This window comes from Homo sapiens, chromosome 1, assembly GCF_000001405.40.
Source record: "Homo sapiens chromosome 1, GRCh38.p14 Primary Assembly".
NCBI classification, from domain to species: domain Eukaryota; kingdom Metazoa; phylum Chordata; class Mammalia; order Primates; family Hominidae; genus Homo; species Homo sapiens.
The window spans coordinates 41,621,956-41,645,075 of record NC_000001.11 but is presented as its reverse complement, the minus strand read 5'-3'; the positions used below and the strand labels follow the sequence as shown (position 1 = coordinate 41,645,075).

The 23,120-nt window shown below is 46.7% G+C and overlaps 2 protein-coding genes across 3 annotated transcripts in view, besides 2 other annotated features; both read left to right on the top strand.

Moving 5' to 3' along the window:
• Positions 1-23,120, top strand: part of HIVEP3 (HIVEP zinc finger 3) — a 529,570-nt gene that overhangs the window by 390,859 nt on the left and 115,591 nt on the right. For both annotated transcript variants that reach the window (NM_001127714.3, NM_024503.5), the window contains one exon: positions 16,129-16,327. The gene's annotated coding sequence lies outside the window, so the exon portion shown is untranslated. The remainder of the gene's footprint in view (positions 1-16,128; positions 16,328-23,120) is intronic.
• The window catches only part of LOC128125817 (uncharacterized), a 43,511-nt gene continuing 36,650 nt past the window's right edge, over positions 16,260-23,120 (top strand). The window contains exon 1 of the mRNA NM_001415000.1: positions 16,260-16,327. Coding sequence (NP_001401929.1) covers positions 16,260-16,327 — 68 coding nt within the window. The remainder of the gene's footprint in view (positions 16,328-23,120) is intronic.
• Positions 21,531-21,700: an enhancer, noted in NCBI's record as "active region_869". NCBI's record gives its function as "activates an Ori minimal core promoter by ATAC-STARR-seq in GM12878 lymphoblastoid cells {active_cell/tissue: GM12878}" and the evidence as "EXISTENCE:reporter gene assay evidence [ECO:0000049][PMID:35858748]".
• Positions 21,861-21,950: an enhancer, noted in NCBI's record as "active region_868". NCBI's record gives its function as "activates an Ori minimal core promoter by ATAC-STARR-seq in GM12878 lymphoblastoid cells {active_cell/tissue: GM12878}" and the evidence as "EXISTENCE:reporter gene assay evidence [ECO:0000049][PMID:35858748]".

Sequence of the window (23,120 nt, the reverse complement as noted above, 5' to 3'; positions counted from 1 at the left end):
CCTGTTCTCTGGAATGTTGGGTCTGGGTGGAGCCTGGCTTCTAGGAATTAGGCATCCCACCAGCTCACTGTGAAGCTTTGGGTACCCATGCGTCAGAGTGTTTCTGCATGCATGAAGAAAGCTTGTATAAAAATACAGGGAGATGTGTGCTATTGTTTTATTAAAGTATCTTGCCTGCCTGTTGGGTGAGGCCAGCTCCTAGGCCAACGACCTGGGCCAGCTGTGGTATAATATCCTGGGAGCCAGTTCCTCTTCTCCCTCTTGCTTGCTGGGGGACTTTGGATAATCCTCACCTCCCTGAGCCTCACTCTGCAAAATGAGAATGATAAAGGCCTAGCTTACCCAATTGTTAACATCCAAAAAAAAAAAAAAAAAAAAAAAAGAACAGATATGCAAGTGTGCTTTAAATCCCTGGGTTATATGGGCATGAAGATTGCCACCAAATGGAGACATTCCTTCAGTAATCAAAAGGGGATCTGACTTATATTCTGAGAGTTAGAGGCCATCCTGGCTTTCAGGAGCAGCAGAGAAAGACACATCGTTCTCTCTGTTTGTTTCCTTTAATTAGAAAGAATTATTCTGGCTGGTAAAGAAATCAACCTCCTGACAGGGAGTTAAACAGAAGGGGTCCTTAGAGACAGACTTGTTCAGGTTTTTGGTTTGAGAGGAGGGGAAACTGAGGCCTAGAAGAGAATGTGATTTGTTCTTGGTCACGTGGCCAGTTAATGGTAGGGGTGTGGTCAGATCCCAGGTCCTGTTCACCCACCTCCTCACCACACGTACTGTCCCATAGGTCCATGAGTTTAGCTACTTCAGGCACAATAGGTGGCCACAGCCTGACAGGGAAACAGGGAGGTGACCCTGGTGAGGAATAAGAGGATAGGAAGGTTTGCCAGGCACGGTGGCTCACACCTGTAATCCCAGCACTTTGAGAGGCCAAGGTGGGTGGATCACTTGAGCTCAGGAGTTTGAGACCAGCCTGGGCAACATAGTGAGACCTCATCTCCACAAAAATAAAAAAATTAGCTGGGTGTGGTGGCACGCACCTGTAGTCCGAGCTACTCTGGAGACTGAGATGGGAGAATGGCTTGAGCCCAGGAGGCAGAGGTTGCAGTGAGCCAAGATTGTGCTGTTGTACTCCAGCCTAGGCAACAGAGCCAGACCCTGTCAAAAAAAAAAAAAAAAGAGGATGGGAAGGCAGACACAATTTGGGGAGGGGGTGAGGGGGGTGGGCAGAGGGGAAGGTAACAACATGGAAGGTCTTGGTACAGAGCGACCAGAGGTGGAACGCCCTTCACTTTCCTTCCCCTCCTTCTGGAAACACCCTAAGACCTCTGTCCGTCTCCAGGTTCCTAGGCCATGTAGCTAACACCAGGGCAAGCATCTGCCCTGCTGACATTAGGCCATCAGGGGTTCTGGGAGCTGCAGCACAGACAGAGGGATGTCAAGTGCCCTGGGGCAACCTTTGGTCCAGGCAGACTGTGTATCTGTCACTTTAGTAACTTCACCTGTTGCTTGGTCCCAAAAATGAGGTCCTGAATATGGTGGTGTCAGGGCAACACTGGAAGGCAGGGCAGTGGTGGTGTGTTTAATTCATTGTTATTCATGCACTCGTCTGTTCAGCATGCTTTCACAGCAGGCTGACTGCATGCCAAGCACTGGGGGTACAGACGGGACATGTTCTTGCCCTGAAGGCACTCCCTGTCTGCGAGGAAGACCCGTGTGCAGGGGAATAAATGTCGCTGGACAGTGTGATTGATGTTACACCAAAGCTCTGGATGAGGGTTAGAAGCGTTAGAGAAGAGAGACACTCCAGCACCTTCCTAGGGGATCTGGGTTTCTGATGGCAGTCAGCAGGCATCAGAAGTGGCAAGAAGCATTGTGGCCTAATCAGAGCTGTGATGCAGAAGTACCGCTTGGGGCAGCAGCATGGAGAGAAGACCCAGAAAAGGATGGGAGTCACATGGGGAGACCAGGGAGGAGGCAAGGATGCTGAAGCCTAGGCCAAGACGGTGGCGGTAGGGTGGAGAGGGGCTCATGGGCGTAGGAACTTAGGGAGCTGATTCACTGAGAACCTGGTGACATATGGAAGGTGGAGGCTGAGGAAGAGGGAGAAGAAGTCAGTGATGGTTCCTGGACTTCCACACATGCCTCAGATGCAAGGTCCCATGCTGAGACTCAGAGTCTGAGTAGCTGTGAGCCCCTAGGGGTCCTGGCCCCTGGCTGACACCCCAGTCTGCCGGGTCCCTCAAGAAGAACCGAGAGGATCATGTGGACACTGATGGGCTGCAGATTGATCTTCACCAACACACACCCAAATAGCTTTCCCTGTCGACGGGGTTAGTAAATTGAGAGAATTCAGTATTTATTCACTCACAGTCACCAATTATGTTCAAGGCTCTGTGAGTGACACGGATGCATCACACACATCCCAGTCCTGTCCTCAGAGATCAGATGGTTTGTCTGTGATGCCCACACACATTTGTATGTATTATATTGCACCCATACAAGGTAGAGAAGGTAAACACCACGACAAAGAGATCAAATCCTTAAATGAAAGATCATTCCTGGCCAGAGAGAGAGTAGAGTCATGGAGGGCTTTGTGGAGGAGGAGGCCTATGAGGTGGGCTCACCCAGGCTGGTGTGGGTTGGATTTAGCCACGTTAAAATGGAGAGAAATATTCCAGACAGAGACAACTGCAAAGAGGCATGAATGTGGAGCATGGCAGTTGGCAAGAGCGGGGCTTTGCAGGGGAGTGTTGATGCCGAGGCAGCCTGGCATATTTGTAAAGTGCAGACATTACTCTCTAAGGAGAACCACTGAAGGATTTGGGATTTGGGGCGAGGAGTGACTTGGTGAGAGCTGGCTATCAGGACAGTCTGTCTGGGTCTATGGATCGGTGGGCTGGGCAGGACAGTGCAGACGCTGTTGCTGTTGGTTCACACAAGAGAGGATGGGCAGTAGGGTCTGAGCCAGGGTGGGGGCAGGAAATCCTTGTCCATTCATTAACATGGATTGAGGCTTTGGGCCAGGCCCTGTTCTAAGCACTTTATGTGCACTACCTGATTGAGTCCTTCTCAAAGTCCAGCCAGGTAGGCGCCACTGTCATTCCCACTTTACAAATGATAGTTCACGGAGGCCCGGAGATGTCATGTCAATAACTCAGAGCATAGCTAGGAGGTGGAGGAGGCGGGATGCAAACCTAGTAGCCTGTGCTCTTAAATTCTCTTAAATCTCACCCTAAAAATGGCATCCCAAAGGGACTGAGCACACTAAGAGTGGACCTGCCAGGGTTGGGGGTGGCTCTGAGGGTTGACCCAGAGCTGCAGGTCCTCTTGCCGTAGCAACTGGCTCCTGTCACCCCCTGTAAGCAGTGTTGGGCCCCACAGGGCCTGCTCTGGTTCACCGACTCGAAACCAGAGCCCACATATAGGTGGTGACAATGTAAATAACTGATGCAATGGAAACTTTCTATGGAAAAAGGTACCCACTCAAACAGCCACAAAGTCCAAAAAAAGGAAGAACACCACAGCAGACCAAGTGGGCCCTGTGGCACACAATTTCCTTTGGCACAGCCTTTCTGTCTGGCTGAATCTCTGAACTGGTGGAGGTGGGGATGGGGTGGAAGATGGGGTAGCACTGGGCAGGAGTGGGGCAGGTTGAGATCTAGACCAGAAGCCTGGCTGGGTCCCCGGAGGACCCTGGGTCACCAGGCTTCCCCTCTTAGCTAAGGGGGCAGCTGTCGTGTGGGCAGAAAGCAATTCTGCCTCCAAAAACACACACCTGTTATCACAGTCTTCCTAGTAGGCATGAATTACTCCCTGCCCCTGTCCTACTGTGGGCCAGTGGTGGAGGTTCTGTAGTCCCCGGGATCTCCCGAGGCCTCCACCTGCTTTGCTGTGAATAAGTTGCAGCAATCTTGTTATGGGATCTGGTATCTTCTTATTTTAGAAGATGAAATAATCATAAACATAAGTAAAGCTAAAAGATCAGAAGTAACCAGAAGAGGAAGAGGGAGAAGGTGGATTTTTCTGGGAAGCCAACCGTACCATTTTGTTCTTACCCCAGCCCAGGGCGTGCACTCTTGCTCTTGTTTCAGAGGTGAGGAAACAGACTCACAGGTGGTCAAGGACTCGAAGAAGGCCACACAGTGTCTAAGACCAGTAATGTCCAGTTTTATTTAATGCCAGAGCCTTGGGCCCTCCTGCAGTGCAAGGCTGTCCACATCTCTCTGTTTTCAAAGCCTCAGTTTCCTCAGTTGTCAGATGGTGATGATGGAGCCTGACCGTAGCATTAGTATGACTGTGAAAAAATGCAGGGACAGCCTTTGCACGTGGAAGACACTCAACAAATGTTGGGTTCTTCCTCTACCTCTGGCTTCTGTGTCTACAACCCGGGGAGATTTAGAAGCCTTCTTGCGGGGAAGCAGCTCAGGTTTTGGGCTCCCTGGGAGAAAGGGCCAGAACCACTGATTTTCTTATCTATCTTCCCTGCTAGATCCATCACAGCCTGAGACATGGACAAGGTCTTCTTCACCTTTGCACCCTGGGGTCTAGCCCAGTGATGGAGAGTGTCTTGTCCAAGGTCACTTAGCTGGGTGCAGCTGGACCTCAAATGTGGGGCTGCCTCATGGGATTTCTATTGCACCCAGAGAGGGAACACGGTGTCTTCTCTGCTCCCCTGTGTAGAGTGCCTAGTTCCAGGGGGCTTTCTGTGACAGAGGGCTGCGAGGTGTGGCCTGATATAGCAGGAAGCGACCTCACTGCTCCTCCCACACCTACCTTCCCCCGCCCCCCAACCCCCGCCCCAGCAGCTCTCAGAACCTTCATCTCCAAGTGCAGCTCCTCCAGTCTCGTCTGTTCCTCCTCCCGCCACTCCGGTATTCTCCTCGACTCCTGGGCTGGGTGCTCCCCATATACACCAGCAACACCTCCCTTCCTTGTCCCTGCAGTGCCTGAAAACCATGAACTTTTCTTCTGCCAAATCCCAGTGTAGAGTTTATGAGACAGTATATTCCTACCTGCCACTAAATGGAATATGTTATCTTGTACTTGAAGTTCTTCTTTTTTGCTCCTTCATACAATGGAAAGTATCACCATTCTCTATTTTTAAATGCCCTGTCTTTCCTGGAAAACATTTCTGGGTATCCTCAAAGCAGGTCTTGTCGCTATCAATGACTGGGCTCCATTGCCTGTCTCTCTGCCCACTCTCCTTGTTGGGGACGCCTCACTCATCCGTGAGTCAGCTACCATGTGAGAGAGAAGCCTCTTGTCTGGAGAACACAGCTGGGGACCGGGAAGGTTCCCAAGGCAGCCTCCAGGCTGTCAGCTGCATGTCACAGCATTCTCAGACTAGAGCGCACTCCGCTGAAACAAAGGTGAGCCCCTCAGGAAAGTGAGAGCCGGAAGGCTGACCACAGAGAGGGAGGTGGGTCACAGAGCCAACCCCAAACCCCAAAACAGAAGCCAGAAGGAGGAGAGATTGACAGAGGGAGAGAGACTTGGAAGGTGTCCCACCATAACTGAAGAAGGGCACAGGCATTTATTGAGTGCCTTTTGTATACTGGGTTCATACTCATTTCACATACACTTTGTCGCATCTGATCCACGTGGCAAACCCAGGGAGGGGGTGAGAGTCTTCACTTCTGACTCATGAGGAAAGTGAGCTAGTAATGGATGAAACCAGGGTCTGAACCCATGTCTTTCTGATGATGTTAAGGCCAACTCGCTATGCTATACCATGCTACTTCTGTGGTGCTGGGTAAATGAGGCATGCCAGTAATTCTCTCTCTTCCCCTCCCATCCACCCCTTTGCCAGTATCCCAGCATGAACCACCAGGATTATTCCATATGATTCTGCCATGTGTGACCCATGTCTTAGATTTTCATGTTTTCTTATTGATCACAGACCACAATAACAAATAAAACTGAAAATAGAAAGATTCATCCCACAATTCCCTGCCCCACACAGATCAAATTTGACTTTCCATGTGCCGGCCCCTTCTGCAGACGTTCCGTTCAGAGTGGAGGGAAGGGCCACGTGTCAGGAGGGTGTCAGGAGGGTGGCAGGGGCCTCAGGGCCAGCCTTCTTCTCCACTTTCTTTAGGATCAGTGTGTGAGGCCCAGTGCCAGAGTCCAAAGCCCCCCTGCCTCCCTGCCAGCCCTTGGAAAACAGCTGTTATGACCCAGTGAGGCTGGCCCCTGCCAGGCATCCAGGATTTTTCTTTAACCCTTTGTCAGCTGCAGTGATGCCAACCCCCAGTGCCCAGACCGGATGCGGCCCCTACCAGCTGCTGGCAAAGGCCTTGCTTTGATGTGTTGGTGGAGAGTGGAGAGCAAGGGCCCTCCCTCCTCATGATTTTGGGTGGGGCCAGCAGAGGAGCTGGCCCTGGTCCTTCCTGCCCTGGGTGGGTGCCACCTTGCAGATGGGCCCCTCTACCCCTAGTAGCCCCCTCCCTGTTCAACTGTTTTCTAAAAAGAAGACACTTTTATATCAGTTTCTCAATTTTTATTATGGTAAAATACACATAACATAATTTACCATCTTAATCATTTTTAAATGTACAGTTTAGTGTTATTAAATACATTCAAAAAGTTATGCACCCATCACCACCATCCATCTCTTCTTTTCTCTTTCTTTCTTTCTTCCTTTTCTTCCTTACTTCCTTCCTTTCTTTCTTTTCTTTCTTTCTCTCTCTCTCCCTTTCTTTCTTTCCTTTTTCTTTCTTTCTCTCTCTCTCCCTTTCTTTCTTTCTTTCCTTTTCCTTTCTTTCTCTCTCCTTCCTTCCTTCCTCTTTCTTTCTTTCTTTCTTTCTTTCTCTCTCTTTCTTTATTTCTCTGTCTCTCTCTTTCTTTCTTTCTCTTCTTTCTTTGTATAAACTTAAGGGGTACAAATGCAATTTTGTTACATGGATATATTACATAGCGGTGAAGTGTGGGTTTTTAGTACAACCGTCACCCAAATAATGTACATTGTATGCAGTAAGTGATTTCTCATCCCTTACCCTTCCCACTCTCCCAACTTCAGAGCCTCCAGCGTCTATTATTCCACACTTCGTGTCCATGTGTACACATTATTTAGATTCCACTTATAAGTGAGAATATGCAGTATTTGATTTTCTGTTTCTTAGTTGTTTCACTTAAGATATTGGCCTCTTAACTGTTTTCATCTTGTAAAACTGAAGTTCTGTGCTTATTAAACACTGACCCCCCATTCTGCTCTGCCCCAGTTCCGGACAACCCCTATTCTACCTTCTGTCTCTATACTTTTATATCATTTTCAAATTACAAAAGTGATACATGCTTAGTGCTTAAAAAAAGAACAGTATGGAAATGTAGAAACAAGAACGCATGTTTCAAGCCCCACCCATTCTGCAGTGCCCTCCAGGACAAGATTGCATCCCCCAGGTCCTTTCCATCCGTCACAGCTACACAGATAGATGTGTGTCTGTGATTTTGCTTTTCACCATCCCGTTGAGAGGAAGTGTGTGTCACAGCTGAGAGTGCAGTCTCCAGAGTCTAACAGACCAAGGTTCACCGCTTGGTCAGGCCTTAGCCTCTGTAGGCCTCAGATGGAAAATGGGGGCAGAAGTGGCACCTTCCACCCGGCAGACTGTTGAGGGAGGGGGGCAGGGAGACTACCTGTGAGAAGCGCTGAAGCTTGTACGTCACATAGACAAAGCTTGATACATAGACAAAGCCACAATGAATCTCTGTTATTGGTAGGAGTATATGTTTATCTTTAAGAAAAGTTATGTTCCCATGACTATTCCATTGTGTGTATTTATCATCATTTACTTATTAAACCAATTTCCTGCTGATGGTCATTAAGGCTGCATCCATCCTCACTGTTAAAATAGTGCTACAGTGGTCATCCCTATGTGTGCATGTGTGTGTATGTTTGTGTATGATGATGTGTGTGCACACTGCAAAGCTGCCGAGTCAACATACATTTTGGTAGACACGGTTAAAAGATTCTCCTCATCTATACCTACTAGCAGTATTTGAGAAGTATTTGATGACGACTCCTCCCTCCACCACTTGATGGTAGCAATCACTTTCCTCTTTGCTAACCAAATGGGAAAAGGTGATACCGATTTTTTTTTTTTTTTTTTTTGAGATGGAGTTTCGCTCTTGTTGCCCAGGCTGGAGTGCAATGGCACAATCTCGGCTCACTGCAACCTCTGCCTCCCGGTTTCAAGCGATTCTCCTGCCTCAGCCTCCCAAGTAGCTGGGATTACAGGCATGTGCCACCATGCTGGGCTAATTTTTGTATTTTTAGTAGAGACGGGGTTTCACCATGTTGGACAGGCTGGTTTTGAACTCCTGACCTCAAGTGATCCACATTTTTAAATATATTCTTTATTAACGAGGCCAGCATTTTGCATATATTTATTAGACATTTTTATTTCTTAAGCAATGATCTGTTCATTTTCTTTCTCCATTTTATTGGCTATATGTCTTACTGTTTTGTGGATGCTTATTACATATTATGGATATTGACACTTTTTCATATATGTTGCAAATATTTTTATCCAATCTGTCATTTGCTTTTTAACTGTTGATTAACTGGGGTTTTTTGTTTTATGTAATGCTTAATATTTTTATGTAGTTAGATTTATTAATCTTTTCCATTAAGAGCACTGAGGTCCAATTCGGGCTTTGAAAGTTATTTTCCAACACTAAAGTATAGAAATATTTTAATAGTTCTGGTATTTTCATGAACTTGCTTTTATAGGATGTTTATATCTCTAATCCATATACATTTCTGTGTGTCTATGGTGCGTGTATTCTATTTAAAATGGCATTCTCCACCCTTCCTCATTCTGTACCCATTTTGCTGCTTAATTTTCATTGTAACACCTGCCACTATTTGCCATGTGGTTTGTTTTACCTGCGGATTTGTTTGTTACTCATCTCCCCTCACCAGACTCTCAGCTCCATAAGGGCATAGACCTTTTCTGTTTTGTTCACTGCTGAATTCCCAGTGCCCAGAACAATGCCCAGCACATAGTAGGTTCTTAATAAATATTTGTTGAATGAATAAACAGCCAGCCAGTTGTCCTAGTGCTTTTATTTAAATAATCCATTCTTTCTCTGCTAATCTGGAATTCCATCTTCGACAGCCTTCTCTTCTATAGTTTCTTCTATAGTTATTAGAGTCTACCTAGGTTTTCTCCCTCTTCTTCAGTTTTACAATTTATACTTTTCTAGAAAATCACCAACTTGTAAATTCATTGACACAGTTATGTATCAAATTCTCTTTGATTTTTCAAAATGTTCACGTATATGTTTACATCACCTTTCTTAATGATTATTTGCGACTTTGCCTATTACTGCTAGTCAGATTTGCCACCGATTTGTCCATTTTGTTGGTCTTCTCAGAAAGCTTAGCTTGCAGCTATGTATGTATATATACATACGTATGTATATGTATGTATATATACATACGTATGTATATGTATGTATATATACATACGTATGTATATGTATGTATATATACATACGTATGTATATGTATGTATATATACATACATATACGTGCATATATGTATATATGCAGCTATATATGTATATATGTGTGTGTATATATATATATAGTTGTGGTTGCTGTCATTTTCTCACTCGTTTTATTTTCAACTTTATTCATTTCTTCTAGATTACTTTGGTTTATTTCATTCTTTTTTAGTTTCTTGGGTTATGTGCTTAACTCATTTAGTTTCAACCTTTCTTAATTTATCATGAAAACATCTAAGCTTTGTATTTTCTTCTAGATGCAGCTTTGATTGCACTACTCAGATTTTGAAAAGTAGGGTTCTCAATGTTGTACATTTATAATTATCCTACGATAGCGTTGCTGTCCTCTTTGATTCAAGAGTTTTTTTAGAAAAGCATTTTTAAATTGTCATGTGCATCATTTGTTTATGTATTTTTATTTTTTGCTATTTGTTAATGTCTAATTTTATTTCATCAAGAACTGAGGCTGTGGTCCGTACAATTCGTGCATTTTGGAATTTGAGATTTTCTTGCAGTCTAGTACAGGGACATTTGAGAAAAAGGTGTTTTCTCTATTTCTTGAATGTATATGAAGTTAAACTTACTAACTACATCTTCAAACCCTTTGTATTCTTCTTTGGAGGTTACTTATACCACCAAATTTCAAATAATAATGCTCAAGACATTTCCTGTTCTTTCTTTACCTCCTCCTTGTGATTCCAAGAATGTCTTATTTTATACATTTTGTGGTTCTGTGTTTATGATGAGAGTAAAAGTTCGTGATTTTTGTATCTCCTTGGAGAAATAGACTCTTCGGCAATATAAAAGGCCCCAGTTTAGTGTATTTAATTAACATTTTTGCATTTTGTCTGATATTAATATTGGCTTTCTCGCATTATTTTCGTTACCATTTGCTTTTTTCCATTTATTTGATTTCCATCTTTTTTGTCAGTTTGTTTTAAGTGTGTTATTTCCAAACAGCATATAGCTGGATTTTTTTTTCCTTTTATCCAGCCTGGTCTCTTAACTTAAAGTAATTTAATTTATTCATATTATTGTGTCTTTTGTCATCTTATTTTATGTCTTTTGTTTATTACACTTTTTCTTTCCTGTTTAATTTTTCTTTTCCCACTCTTGGCTAAATTAATAGAGTTTTCTTTGTTTCTCCCTTCCCCTCTCCCCACACAGTGGTTTAAAAGGTTTGCATCTTGCTTTTCTTCTAGAAATGGTTAGTTTTTACACAGATTTCTCTATTGATGTCAAGAATTAAATAGTATCTAATTCCCAACAAGATAGGATCATGATTATCAACATTTGTTTAGACTTCACTTCACCTTTTTCTGCTTTTATTATTTCTCCCTGTTTCTTGGATATCCTATATTGTCCTTTTTTGAATTACTTATTCTGGTACAATTCTTATTTCCTTTGAGTGATTCCTCGAGTAATTTTTTTTTTTTTTAAGAAAAGATGCGTGGGTGGTGGGTGTCACACTATTTTATACTTCTCTCTGGCTTTGAGACTTGGCTGAGTAACGGATCTAAGGGTTTTAACCCTTTTTCCTCCAAGCTCGGAGGTCTGCCCTGTTGTAAATGATGCAGATACCAAATTGAATGTCAATTTGATTCCAAGCATTTTTGTAGAGACTGTCAAATGCCAGCTCCCCAGATATCATCTACAAACTTGTTGGTAAGGCAAAGCTGAGTTTATTACTCACTTGCCGAAGGGAGGGTGCTGATTCCAGAGGGCTTTGGCCTGTCTGGGAGGAAGGAGGCAAGGTTGGGTTTTCTGAAGCCTAGCAGTTCTCTTTAAGGTGGGTGTGTCAATGTGGGGGCTTGGTTAGGGTTGTGTAAGGAACACAGTAGTCCAGGACTGGTGGAAGCCATGAGGTGAGGGATTTTGAGGCCAGGCAAGGGATTCAGAGAATCGTAGGGCACCAGCTGTTGATTGAAGAGTAGATGGGTCCTTCAGGAGGTTTCTGTGATGAACAGTGAAGCCATTTGCCAGGGAGAGAGGCTCCTGGGATAATAAAGTCATGCAGTTGAAGGCAGAAAGGTGTGTGGGGAGGTACTTTCTGCTCCCAGTACCTCCCTGCCCAACTCTCACTTTGGTCATTTTGGAAACTGAGAGGATCCACTCTTTTTGGGGGGGATTTCAGGACCCCACTCCAGCCCGCCCTGCCATGGAGGAGCTCTGAGCAAGTCCTGGGGTGCCTGGCAGGTGGGCCCTCACTGCCCGGCTGGGTGAGGCTAGCTTCGCTCTGATTAGATTTCCTGTCACTCCCTCTCGTCTGTTTTCCCTCGGACTTTCTGGCCAGCTGATGCTACTGCAGATCTGTTCTTATTTGCACATTTCTCCTTTTATTTGAGGGGTGTTGCGGGGGGGAGAAGAGGGAGATAAATGGGCTCGGTTTGCCATCTAGGCCCTCAGGTGTGTGTGACCTTTTCTGGTGACCTGGACACGGGTGTGGTGGGCAGCCCTCTGACCTGCCACGGAGGGGGAGACTGGGGACAGTCAGTGACACCAGCCTCACGACCGCAGCCAGAAGAAGTCTCTCTCCTTCCACCTGATCCTTTCTCCTCAAGCCACACCCCTCACCCTGGCTGCAGGACCTCACTGATGAAAATGACCTCACTTCACAGCACCACCACATCCAGGCCACTTCATCTGTCAAACCGTCATGTCCCGGCCCCTACACAGCACCTCCCACTGTCGCTGCCCCTCACCTCCAGCCATGTGGACACCATGCAATTTTCTTGAACATTCTGGCCATTTGGGGGTCCTCTGTCCTTTCTTTTTATCTTTTTTTTATTCTTTTTTTTTTCTTTGAGTTGGAGTCTTGCTGTGTCACCCAGGCTGGAGTGCAGTGGCACAATCTTGGCTCACTGCAACCTCTGTCTCTTGGGTTCAAGCAATTCTCCTGCCTTACCCTCCCAAGTACCTGAGACTGCAGGCATGTGCCACCACGCCTGGCTAATTTTTGTATTTTCAGTAGAGACAGGGTTTCACCATGTTGGCCAGGATGGTCTCGATCTCTTGAACCCGTGATCCGCCAGGCGTGGTGGCTCATGCCTGTAATCCCAGCACTTTGGGAGGCCTTGACAGGTGGATCACGAGGTCAAGAGATCTGTCTTTTCTTACATGACTCCCTTTGTTTTAAATATCCTCTTTCTTTTTTCTCTCTCTTACACATTCAGACACCATCAAAATTGACTACCCCTACTCCGTGCTCCCCTTGAAGATAGAGATTAAATCTTTGCCATCTATTAACGCTGGCACCTACAACCCGGCTCTACCCAAAATAGGCACTGAGTGGACATCTGTTAAATGAATAAACAACCAACTTGGGCGCTAAAGAGAATTGTTCCACACTGACTGTGTGTGACAGGCCATACTCGGGGTGAGGGAGTGAGTCAGAATGACCCTGCCTGAGTTGTATGCAATCTAGAAGGGCTTTAAGCCGTGGCTGAGCACAGTGGATGCTGTTATTTACCTTAGGAGGAGCACAGCAAATGTGCTTGGGGTATTCTGGAGAGGCAGAACTTAGGTCCAGTTTTATGGGAGCTAGCTGAACCTCCTGAGGGAAGATGGGCAGGATTCAGCAAGGTGGGCACGATTGCAGAGGGAGGTGAGTAGCATCCCATGCAGAAGAGGCTGCCTGAGCCAAGGCTCAGAGGTAGGAAACTGTAGATTGTGTTTGTAGAATAGCGTGTTCTGAGAAGTGAGTGTTTCTACACTGGGAGGAAGAGAGCACGGCCATTTTGATTAATAACTGCAATCTATTGGAGGGCATGAGGTCAGATCAGGGAGGATAGAAACCCACAGAGTAGTGAGAAATTGGGCTGGTTCGGACGGCAGAATCAGGAACTGATTGATAGAGCCACAGAGCAAGCCTCTCCACTGTGTGGTGCTGCGATGCTGCCCTGGGGGTAGGAGGGGGCTGGCTGGGTTTCATAGCAGCAGGTACATTGGGAAGGGGACAGCAGGGGGGCATCGGTGACCTGTATGCTCTGTAGGAATCAGCAGTGCGATATGGTTGCCAAACGTGATTCTGAGGCTGTGTGAATAAAAAGCAGGGTGCCCAAGAGGAGAAAGGTAACAGTGCCCCAGGCCTGTGTGCGGGTTACTCCAGACCCAGATTATTGGGTTCCACTCTGAGATAATATTCAGAGCAGTTACGTGGGCCGTGCCAGGCATTGTTCCAACCTTTTTCCATGTACGGACTCATTAAAGTACGGGCCCTGGAAGGCACTCACCATTCTTAGCCCCACTTGCCAGGCACAGCAAGGCAATGCAACTTTCTCAAGTTGCAGACGTCAGAAGTGGAAGGGCTAGATTTGAACCAGGTATACCTGGCCCTGGAAGCCACATTCTCATCCATCCCACGACACTGCCTGCAGCGGGCAAACCAGAGCATCCTCCAAAGAGCACGGCGTGGATATGACACGCCACGCCACCACTGACTGAAACAACTTCGGCTTTCTAGTTTACAAAGCATCTTCCTCTATATTTCCTTATTTGATCCTTACAACAGCCTGGCAAGTCAGTTATTAAAAACCAATACTCATTTGTGTATTCATTCAGGAATCACTGTTGAGCTCCTGCCCTGAAACAGGCCTCTCTTGGCCTGTTTTATTTTGTGATTTGGGGAATACAATATGCTTTTATGTCTATTACTGTATTTCATTGCCACCCATGCCTGAATATGAGTCAGTTTTCCAGGCTGTATTAGTTTTCTCTTGCTGCATAACAAATCTCCTCCAATTTAGTGACTTAGAATAACACCCATTTGTTAGCTCACGGGTCTGTAGGGCAGAAGTCTGGTACAGAGTGGCTGGATTCTCTGCTCAGGGCTGAATCAAGGTGTTGGTGGGCTGGGTTCTCATCTGGAAGCTCTGGGGAACATTCTGCTTTCCAAGCTCATTCAAGGTGTTGACAAGACTCAGTTCCCTACAATGGTAGGACTGAGGTCCTGTTTTTTGCTGGTCATCAGCCGGGGTTGCTGTCAGCTCCTGGAAGCTGCGGGCCAATCCTTTCCATACAACCCTCCATCTTCAAGGCGGTGAGGGTATGATGAAGCTTTCTCCAGACCCTAATCTCTCTGACTTCCTCTCCTGTGATTAGCCAGAGAAAACTCTGCTTTTTAAAAATAATTTCAACTTTTCTATTAGATTTGGGGTACATGTGCAGGTTTGGGTATATTATGTGATGCTGAGGTTTGGAGTAGAATGATCCTGTCACCCAGGTAGTGAGCATAGTACGCACTAGGTAGTTTTTCAGCCCTTGTCCCTCCCTCTCTCTCCCCCACCCAGTAGTTACTAGTGTCTGTCGTTCCCATCTTTATGTCCATGTGTACCCAATGTTTAGCTCCTGCTTATAGGTGAAAACACATGGCATTTGATTTTCTGTGCCTGTGTTAATTCTCTTAGGATAATGGCCTCCAGGTGCATCCATGATGCTGTCAAGGACATGATTTTGTTCTTTTTTATGACTACATAATATTCCATGGTGTATATGCATCACATTTTCTTTACCTCATCCACCACTCATGGGCATGTAGGTTGATTCCATGTCTTTGCTATTGTGAATAGTGCTGGAGTGAACATACAAATGCGTGTGTCTTTTTGGCAGAATAACTTATTTTCCTTTGGTTATATACTCAGTAATGGAATTTCTGGGTCGAATGGTCGTTCTGTTTGAAGTTCTTTGAGAAATTTCCAAACTGCTTTCCACAGTGGCTGAGCTACCTTACATTCCTGCCAACCGCGTATAAGCATTCCCTTCTCTCCACGGTCTCGCCAGCATCTGTTGTTTTTTTGCCTTTTTAGTAATAGACATTCTGACTGGTGTGAGATGGCATTTCATTGTGGTTTTGATTTGCATTTCTCTGATGATTAGTGACGTTGAGCATTTTTTTCATGTTTGGTGGCCACTTGTATGTCTTGTTTTGAGAAGTGTCTATTCGTGTCCTTTGCCTACTTTTTAATGGGATTATTTGGTTTTTGCTTGTTGAATTGTTTAAGTTCCTTATAGATTCTGAATATTAGATCTTCGTTGGATGCACAGTTTGTAGACATTTTCTCCCATTCTGTAGGTTGTCTATTTACTCTATTGATAGTTTCTTTTGCTGTGCAGACGCTCTTTAGTTTAATTAGGCCTACTTGCCAATTTTTGTTTTTGTTGCAATTGCTTTTGAGCACTTAGCCATAAATACTTTTCCCAAGGCTGGTGACCAGAATGGCATTTCCTGCAAATTCTGTTTTTAAAGGGCTTTCATACCAGGCCAGGTCTTGATAATCCCCCTCTCTTAAGGTCAGTTGTGCCCTGTAACATAACCCAACCATCCATCCTATTCACAGTCCTGGGGGCTTTGCAGGGTCTGTGCACCAGGGGAACCGGAAATCTTGAGGGCCATCTTAGAATTCTGCCTACCACACTAGTGAAGAAATAGAGGCTCAGAGAAGTTAAGTGTTGGATGCAAAGTAGGGGGATGTGGGGATCAGGCCCTGTACCAAGTAAAGCTGCTTGGGAGTAGTTGGGGGGTGTGTCCTCCAGGGACCAGGCAGGGATTGTTCTGTGTCTAAAAAAGTTGACCAAGAAAGTTCTTTGACCATGTTTCTCAATCATCTCCTGCAGGATTCGAGGCACAAACCCAGCAGCCTCAACCTAGTTCATGGAGGAGCCTCGCGGGGTCCTGGCCAAGCAAGCCCGCCCCTCTGGTGGGAAGAGCGGCGCCTAGGTGGAGGGTGGCTGCCGTAGGAGTGGACATGAATGCTGGCTTTCAGAGAGAACAGCGTTTCAGTTTTGGTCATCGGAAGTGGTGCCTTCAGCACAGGTAGGAAATGGGGGCTGTTGCTGAATATGCTTGCCAGGCGCCATGTTGGTCTGTCTTGCATGAGCTTGCTTAGTTCTTCCTCTGAAAAATGTATTATTGTTATTATTAGTGTTATCGTTGCCTTTCTGGTGCCTCTGTGAAAGTTGTTGTGAAAGTCCTCAACCTTCCTTGGTCAGGAGTAGAGACCTTGAGTGCCAGCAACTGGCTACTGCTTCCCATGCTGTCTCCCATGAAATGCAGTCCGCCCCCTCCCAGTACCTCAGTTTCCATTCTGTCCTGGCAAAGGACACAACAGCTCCTCTCAAAGGGCCACAGCCCCCTCTCCAGGGGCCACAGCCTCCACAAGCCAGTCCAACTGTGTGCTCCTGATAGCCAGAGGTCTACCCTCTTCTCCTACATAATGGTTCTTGCTGAAGACCACCACTGCCCACCCAATGCCTAGTCAGAGGAGCACCACGGGAGTTAGAGACATAGCAGCAGGTCTTCAGTCCCCTTTCTCACCCCACCTGCCCCCAAGTTGTGAAGAATTGAAAAGATGTCAGGGTTGGGGCAATGATTCTTGGAATTTCAGCAATTTCAATAGCAGGGCCCCAGCTCCCGAAATAGTGATCAAATGAGCCTGGGGAGAGGCCTGGTATCAGCTTATGTTTATATATGCATTTAGATCTTCAGGTATGTGCTGTGGTTTCTGGCTAGATGTTCAGGCTTCAGTACAGGTTAGGTGTGCAGTGTTAGAAGCTTGTTGGGTCAAGAACAAGTCCTTGGATGTTTTCTCTGGTGTGGAGAGCCAGAATCACCCAGAGAGCTGGGGATTAGAAAGAGGGTGCCTGGTATGACAAAGGAAGGAAGGAAGGGAGGGAGGGAGGGATGGACGGAGGGAGGGAGTTCTCTGGCCTACCTGTGCCCTCTGCATCAGACTCTTGGGGGTTGGGGACCCAGGAATCTACATTGATTCTGATGCAGCCAAGGCTTGGGGACTCCAGGGCCTCCTTCTGGGGGCCTGTGTTTGGGTCTGTGGGCCCAGCTGAGATTTCCAAGGCAACATTTCCCAGCCTGGCATGCCAGGAGCAGTGACTCTTTCGCTTCTCTGAAAGCTGAAGTTTCCTCACTGTATAGAGAAGGGGATGGGGCCACAGGCAGCCCTCAGAGATGGCATCGCTGTTGCTGCCTGGACTTCGGGGTGGCTAGAGCCTGTGTCTCTGCCCACAGTATGACAGCTTGGGCCTACCAGCCCTAGGCCTAGACCAGGGTTCTCCTGAGGAGGTAAAGGAATCGTTCCCTGGATTCCAAGGAAGAACTGGGCATTGGAGCCTCATTTTAAGAGGGGATGTTTGTTGTGGTACTTAACAGTGTAGACCCACCCTGAGTTCAAATCCCAGCCCCGACTCTTAGTGGTTGTGTGAGGCACTTACTGGTTTAAGAGGCAAATTGCTCCAACTCTGCCTCATCCTTCTCACTTGCAAAATGAGGCTGGTAGTGATACCTGCCTCGCAGGGTTGCTGGGGAAGGCCCCTAGAATGTTGCCAGCCACGTTAACAAGGACCTCCCAAACGTGAGTCACCCTTCTGGCGTGTGTGGGCAGTTGGGCCACCACCCTGCTCTCCCAGTTGCAGCCCTGTGCCATCTGCATGCCCTGCCCTCTGGCCCCAGTGCTGTGTCCCTGAGGTCAGGCTGAAGCACGGGGACCGATGCTGCTGCCCACATGGTTGGTACTTTACAGACAGGTTCGAGTCCTTCCCAAACCTCAGTGAGTCTGGTCCTGTTGCCCCTGTTGTGCACATAAGGAAACTGAGCACAGAGAGGTTCAGTAGTTTAAAGACAGCTACACAGATGGTAAGGGGCAGAGCCTCTGGTTACAAAAGACCCAGCACTTTTTTCTCCACCAAGATGCTTCCTGAAGAAGAGCAATGACAGCTCCAAGGATGACCCCTTCCCCAGGAATGTCCACATGTTCATAGGAATCGATCATGCTGTAATGCCCCAGCATGCCCCTGGCTCGGCATCCTGGGGCACTTCCTGGTACCTCAACTTAGCACTTGTTTCCTTCTGTGCCTATCACAGCCATTTAGGGGTCTCATGAGCAGTCTCAGGACAGGATCTGGGTTCATTCCATGAGGTGTACAACAGATACTTGAACTAGTCCAGAAGCAGAGCCCTCTGAGAGATGCAAGCCAGATACATGGGGGAACTGTCCAGGGAGTACAGATGGGGGGTCCTCTGCAGACTTGGCATTTCCCTCCCCTCCCCCCGCTTCGTGCCCAGACTCTTTGTTTGTCCGTGTGGGCTCAGCCAGCTGCTTGGAAGAATCTGTAGAGTATGGGACTTGCCCAGAGGGAAATGAGCTGTCAGTTCCAGCGAGAAACCTGGCTCCTGCCTCTGCCTGTGTTCTCCCTGGGGAAGAAAGTGCCTGTGATTAATGAGGTGCTGACTTGGTGCTGCTGGAGTCCAGGTGATCACGGCCACTGCTGGCACGGCCCTCCCAGCCACCAGGGAGGAGCTGGGATATATGGCATCCGAACAAGACAGAGGTGTGCAGTGCTGCAAACGCCCCGGTGCTGGGGAGGGCGGGGTGGCCCATCAGCACCATCAGAGGCTTGGGCACAGCTATGTGTGGAATTACTGAGGGCAGGGAAACATGGAGTCACAGCCACTCTTCAGAAGGGGCCTGAAGTGGGGCTTTCTCCAGAATAAATGTGCTTTCTGAATGAGAAGCTAGAGGACAGATCTCATTTGAAAATGGATATGGAAGCAATTTCTCAGCAATGAGAAACTTGAGCAGTTTTCAAACTTTTATAGTCTTAGAAGCTATTTTTAAAAGCCAAATCTTGCATGGAATGTCAATATATAAAACAGGTTAAAATGATGGTTTATGAATACATTATTTTTTAAGTTCAAATTTTTAACATTGTTTAAAAATTCTCATTTTTATTCTTATTTCTTATCTCCAAATTATTGCCATTTAGACTTAGTCTAATTTAAGTCAGATGCAAAAGACTTTATTTATTTATTTTTGATATATACTGTCTTGCTCTGTTGCCCAGGCTAGAGTATAGTGGTGTGATCATAGCTCACTGCAGCCTCAAACTCCTGGGCTCAAGGGATCCTCCTATCTCAGCTTCCTGAGTAGCTAGGAGTACAGGCATGGACCACCACACCTGGCTGTCTAGTTTTTGACATTTATTTATTATTTATTATGAACGTTATATTTATTATGTTATTAGCGACACCTCTGTTTTGATGCACAAACACATTGAAATCTGAGGTTCTAGATCAGGAATTGGCAAACTTGCCTGTGGGCCTAATCCAGGCTGCTGCCTGATTCGGTAAAGTTTTATTGGAACATAGCCACACCGTTTTTTAAATGCATTATCTATGGCTGCTTGAGACTGTCTGTTTCACAAAATCTAAAGTTCTTACTATTTGGCCCTTTACAGAAGAAGTTTGCTGACCTCTGCCCTAGATCATCATTGTATTGCTTGCTTTATCAGCTGCAATATCTAATATTCCTTTTTCTTTCTTGTTTCGTTTGGCTTGACTGCAAAGTATTAAGGAATTCTTTTTTTTTTTTTTTTTTTTTTTTTTTTTTGAGTTGGAATCTCGCTCTGTCAGCCAGGCTGGAGTGCAATGGCATGATCTTGGCTCACTGCAATCTCTGCCTCCCAGGTTCAAGCTATTTTCCTGCCTCAGCCTCCCAAATAGCTGGGCTTACAGGCGCATGCCACCACACCAGCTAATTTTTGTATTTTTATTAGAGATGGGGTTTCACCATGTCAGCCAGGCTGGTCTCAAACTCCTGACCTTGTGATCCATCCACCTCGGCCTCCCAAAGTGCTGGGATTACAGGCGTGAGCCACCGCGCCTGGCCAAGGAATTCTAAATCAACATCCATAACATGATGTGAATGGTGACAGATTGTTAACAGCTTGCCTTAAAGCCACAGAATGGTCTTCAGTTCAACATTATCTGGGCATTTGGGGAGGAGTAGAAGGGAATTCTGGTTTGCATCAGTGACAATATCCAACAACTGCTTGAATTCCTTCCTATTACACACATAAGTCAGACAGGAAGCCCCACAATCATTTATGATATTTTCATGATAATCCACATAATACATTGTCTTGTCATTGAAAGCTTCAGAGTGTACTTGCTTGTATGGTTTTGTGTACGCATATAGAGTCCTGAATTTAAAAAATGACAACACAAAGATACCCAGTGAAGAGCTCCACTCTTCCTAACTGAAGATACATTTCAACGGTGAAGGTCAAGATCTACCCAGACCTTCATCTGAGGTCTGCACAAACCAAATTAAACCGGCAGCACTTGTTGGCTATATTCAGTGTGTTCCCATGTGCTATAGAGCATGTTTGAATGTGTGTACGTGCTCGTTTTCTGTTAGAATAGGAGTCAAACTGTACTTTTAGAATAACATGCTCGTGGAACATTTGGAGAGCCTCTGAAACACTTTCATGGAACACAATTTGGAGACTACCCCTTCAGCAAATATTGGTGGTTCTCATTTTTGTACTGGAGGATAATGGAGGGGCCACGGATGCTGAGAGTTGGAGGCAGAGGAGGAAGGAGGAGAGATGGGGAGGGGAGAAGTTGAGGTGATGCTGTGGAGAGTGCAGTCAGTAGTGGAAATAGTACTCTTCGCAACCCAGGGAGGCCATGTGAGCTTCTGCTGAGGCTTGGGAAGTCTCCTAGCAGTTGTTGATGAGCAAACTCAGCTCCTGGGGCTGCTTTAATGACCTCTGGCCCGCGCCTTTGAAGAAAAGGTGCAGAAGAGCGTGGAGCAAGGTAAACATGTGTGCAGAGAAGTGGGGGTGGGGAGCATACACGTCACTCTGATCGGCATGCAGAGAGCCTCTGTGGCCATTCAACAGGTCAAGGTGTGAGGCAGTGGGGAGGAAAAAGGATACCCGAGGGGCCAGGAGAATCAGCTTGCCAAACCAGGGCTGGCACAGGAGGAGGAGGGCCTGGAGCATGGGCCGTGTTTGTGAGAGACCGGCGTGGGGTTGGATGTCAGGTTCCCTGGATGGTGGTGGCTGGGATTGCACATTGGCCTTAGGCATTTGAGGCAAAGCCCACAGACCCAGGAATGAAACCCAGGAGTCCTGACTCCCAGGCCACCTGCCCTTCACTCAGTGGGTGCAAGGAAGAGAGCCAGGCCTGGTGGTTTTTGGAGGCCATGGGCTAGAGAAGCCTCAAGGGGATAGAAAAACCCCTGTGCTTTCTGAGGTTGTGCTGCTCACCCCATAGAAAAGGGACATTTTTAGGTTTTAAAAGGATGACCTCATTTTTTTCTTATTTACATAGCCCTGTTTGTTTATATAGCCCTTTAAAAATAGCAAGTGTGTGCTAAGCTTAGTGCTCTCTCTCCCACCACCAGTGGCAGAGCCACTGTGTGGGGAGAAACACCTTTTTATCTTGGAGAGGGGCAGCCTTGTTTCTGAGGACAGATGGGAGCAAAACGGGACAGGTAGGAAGTTTCGTGGTTTCTCGTGTCGCTTCTCCAAAATAGCCACACTGCTGCCTCCCACTTCCTGCCTGACTCGGCTGGGGTAGATTTTCTCCTTTAGAGGATTTGTGTTCTGTGTATTCCCAGGGAGGCTCGAAGGGATCTGTTGCCAAAAACATGCTTGACACTGAAGCCCTGGAGCTTGGCACTGAGGGCCCCAGCTCAGGTTTGGACCACTGGGTTTGCATCCGGGCTCTGTCTCATACTGGCTGCGTGACCTTGGGCAAATGACTTCACTTCTCTGTGCCTCATCAGTAGGATGGAGATAACAACTCTAGCTATATCCAGCAGTTACTCTGCAGATTAAATGAATATGTGTAAAGGGCACAGCCCAGTGTGGGCACATAGCAACTCTTAATGAATCTCTTAATAAAAAACAGCAATGTTGTTGTTGATCTCCATCCCCTACCTGGAAAACTGTACCAGCCTCCCAGCCACCTTCCCTTTCCCCTGGCTTGCCTGCTCCAGCACATCCCAGCATGATCCGAGAGTGATAGAAACGTGAAACACAAATCTGACCCTGCTATCTGCTGCTTAAAATCCACCCATAGCTTCCAGCGTCTATGGCAGGAATGAGCATTCTTTTGCTCTGAATGGCCAGATAGTATTTGAAGCTTTGCCGGGCATATAGTCTCTCTTGACTTTGTCATTGCAGCCTGGAAGCAACCACAGATAATATGTAAAAAATGGGCGTGGTTGTGTTCCAGTAAAATTTTATGTACGAAAACAGGCAGCCGGCTGGATTTGCCAACCCTTGACCTACAGGATGAATCCAGACCCTTAGCTCAGCATTCCCAGTTCAGCCTGTTCCCGTTATCTCCATCCTTCTTCCTCCCCCACCCCTGCTCTTGTGCAGAACATGTCACACTTTAATCCTTTGCGTGTGCTGCTCCCTCTTTCTGAGTTTTCCTTCCCTGCCCCCTGAGTGCCCCTTCCCCATGGCATTAGGACCTTTACTCTGGGATTCTGTGGTACCCTGTCTTTATTTCTACCCTGGTCATATATGCAAGTTCCATCTGTCTCTCCATGAGAGGGGCTCCCCTCTAGGCAGGGATTCGGCCTTCCTCTTCTGTACACCCAGCAGGGTGCTGCTGTATAGGTTTCTGCAGGTGCTCAGTAAGCATTTGTTATTGAACCCAAGGATCTGCAAGATGGATGGTTGGCCTCAGGGAGCTCACAGTCAGCTTAGAAAGCTAGGATATGAGCCAGTCAAAAGCCAGCCAGCAATCCAGGCAGGAAATGATGATGGTCTGTGTGTTTGGCCCTAACTGATGT